The sequence below is a fragment of the Homo sapiens genome, chromosome 20, assembly GCF_000001405.40.
Source record: "Homo sapiens chromosome 20, GRCh38.p14 Primary Assembly".
Classification (NCBI taxonomy): domain Eukaryota; kingdom Metazoa; phylum Chordata; class Mammalia; order Primates; family Hominidae; genus Homo; species Homo sapiens.
In genome coordinates, this window is record NC_000020.11 from 733,399 (window position 1) to 734,691 (window position 1,293).

At 53.8% G+C, this 1,293-nt stretch overlaps 1 annotated feature.

The window, feature by feature from the left end:
• Window positions 545–1,045: an enhancer, noted in NCBI's record as "H3K4me1 hESC enhancer chr20:714587-715087 (GRCh37/hg19 assembly coordinates)". NCBI's record gives its function as "activates a minimal SCP1, AML or CMV promoter by ChIP-STARR-seq in naive H9 embryonic stem cells {active_cell/tissue: H9 hESC(naive)}" and the evidence as "EXISTENCE:reporter gene assay evidence [ECO:0000049][PMID:30033119]".

The following is a 1,293-nucleotide window of genomic DNA, read 5'->3' on the forward strand; positions in this document are numbered from 1 at the left end:
TTTTGAACTCCTGGTCTCAACTGATCCGCCTGTCTTGGCCTCCCAAAGTGCTGAGATCACAGGCATGAGCTACCGCACCTGGCCTGTGGTTGTTAACTGTAGTCCCAGGAAATGAATACACACACAAAACCAGTTAATACCTAAGACAATTCCAGCTAGTGGCAAGTGCTTTGGAAAAACAAAACAAAACAAAACAAAACAAAACAGGTGAGAAGGGCGTGGGATAGAGAGGGACTGGGAACGGTGCCACATTAGCCAGGGTGGTCAGGGAAGCCCTCTTGGAGGAGGAGGCATTTCAGTGGAGAGGAGAAGCCCAGCATGTGAGGACCAGGCAGAGGTGCTGGTGAGGGGGCACTTGGTGGGCGTGAAAGCTACTGGATGCAGCTCTGACGATGGAGGATACCTGACTGGGATTTTGGAGGAAGTCTCCAGGAATGAACCGGGAAGGGGCTATCCTCTCTTTGCCTCTGCAGGTCTCAGAACCTGCTGCATGGCTGCTGCAGGCTGTCCCTCGGCCTAGGCCGGCTGGCAGCCGATGAAGGAGGCCAGCCTCGCAGCTGACATGCTGCTCTCTAATTGTGATTAACTACCAAGTCCTCTCCTGCTCCGGCCTGAGGCCGCTGGTGTGACAGCTGCAGAGTGAATCAATGAGGCCAGGAAGGGGTTAATGGGCAGCCCCTCCATCTGAGCCCTTCAGACAATAAGGGGAGGTGGGGAGGCCTCTGGTGGGGGTGTGTGGCATCAGCTGGGGTGAGTGAATGGAGGGGACAGAGGCCTTGTCCCTGGGGACAGGGTGTGAGTGCTCTGTGGGGAGAGGGGTCAGACCCCCCTCCCATTATTTTCATCCACCTCCATCGTCCTCTCCCCTCCCCCACCCAGCCAGAGCATCCCAGACAACTGCCCTCTTGGCTCCAAAGTGTGCAGCATCTTCAGCCTTACGGAATTCTGAAGCAGAAATTCTAAAAGCCAAAGAACTGCAGAATCGTGACATGTCACCGCTGTGGGAGAGTCCGTCTAGTCCTGTCATTCTGAAACTTTCTTTTGCAGTGGAACCCACAACTCCCACCCCAGCTCATTTCCCCCCAAAATAATAGTGCATTGATAACATTGAGAACAGACCCTGGTACCAGCCGGCCTCATTCATCCTTCATTCAGCCCCGGTTCTACCACGTACAACTAGGGTAACTTGGGGGTATAATGCATAGTTTATAGGTGTGTGTGTGTGTGTGTGTGTGTGTGTCTTCCCTAGAGACAGAGTCTTGCTATATTGCCCAGGCTGGTCTTGAACTCCTG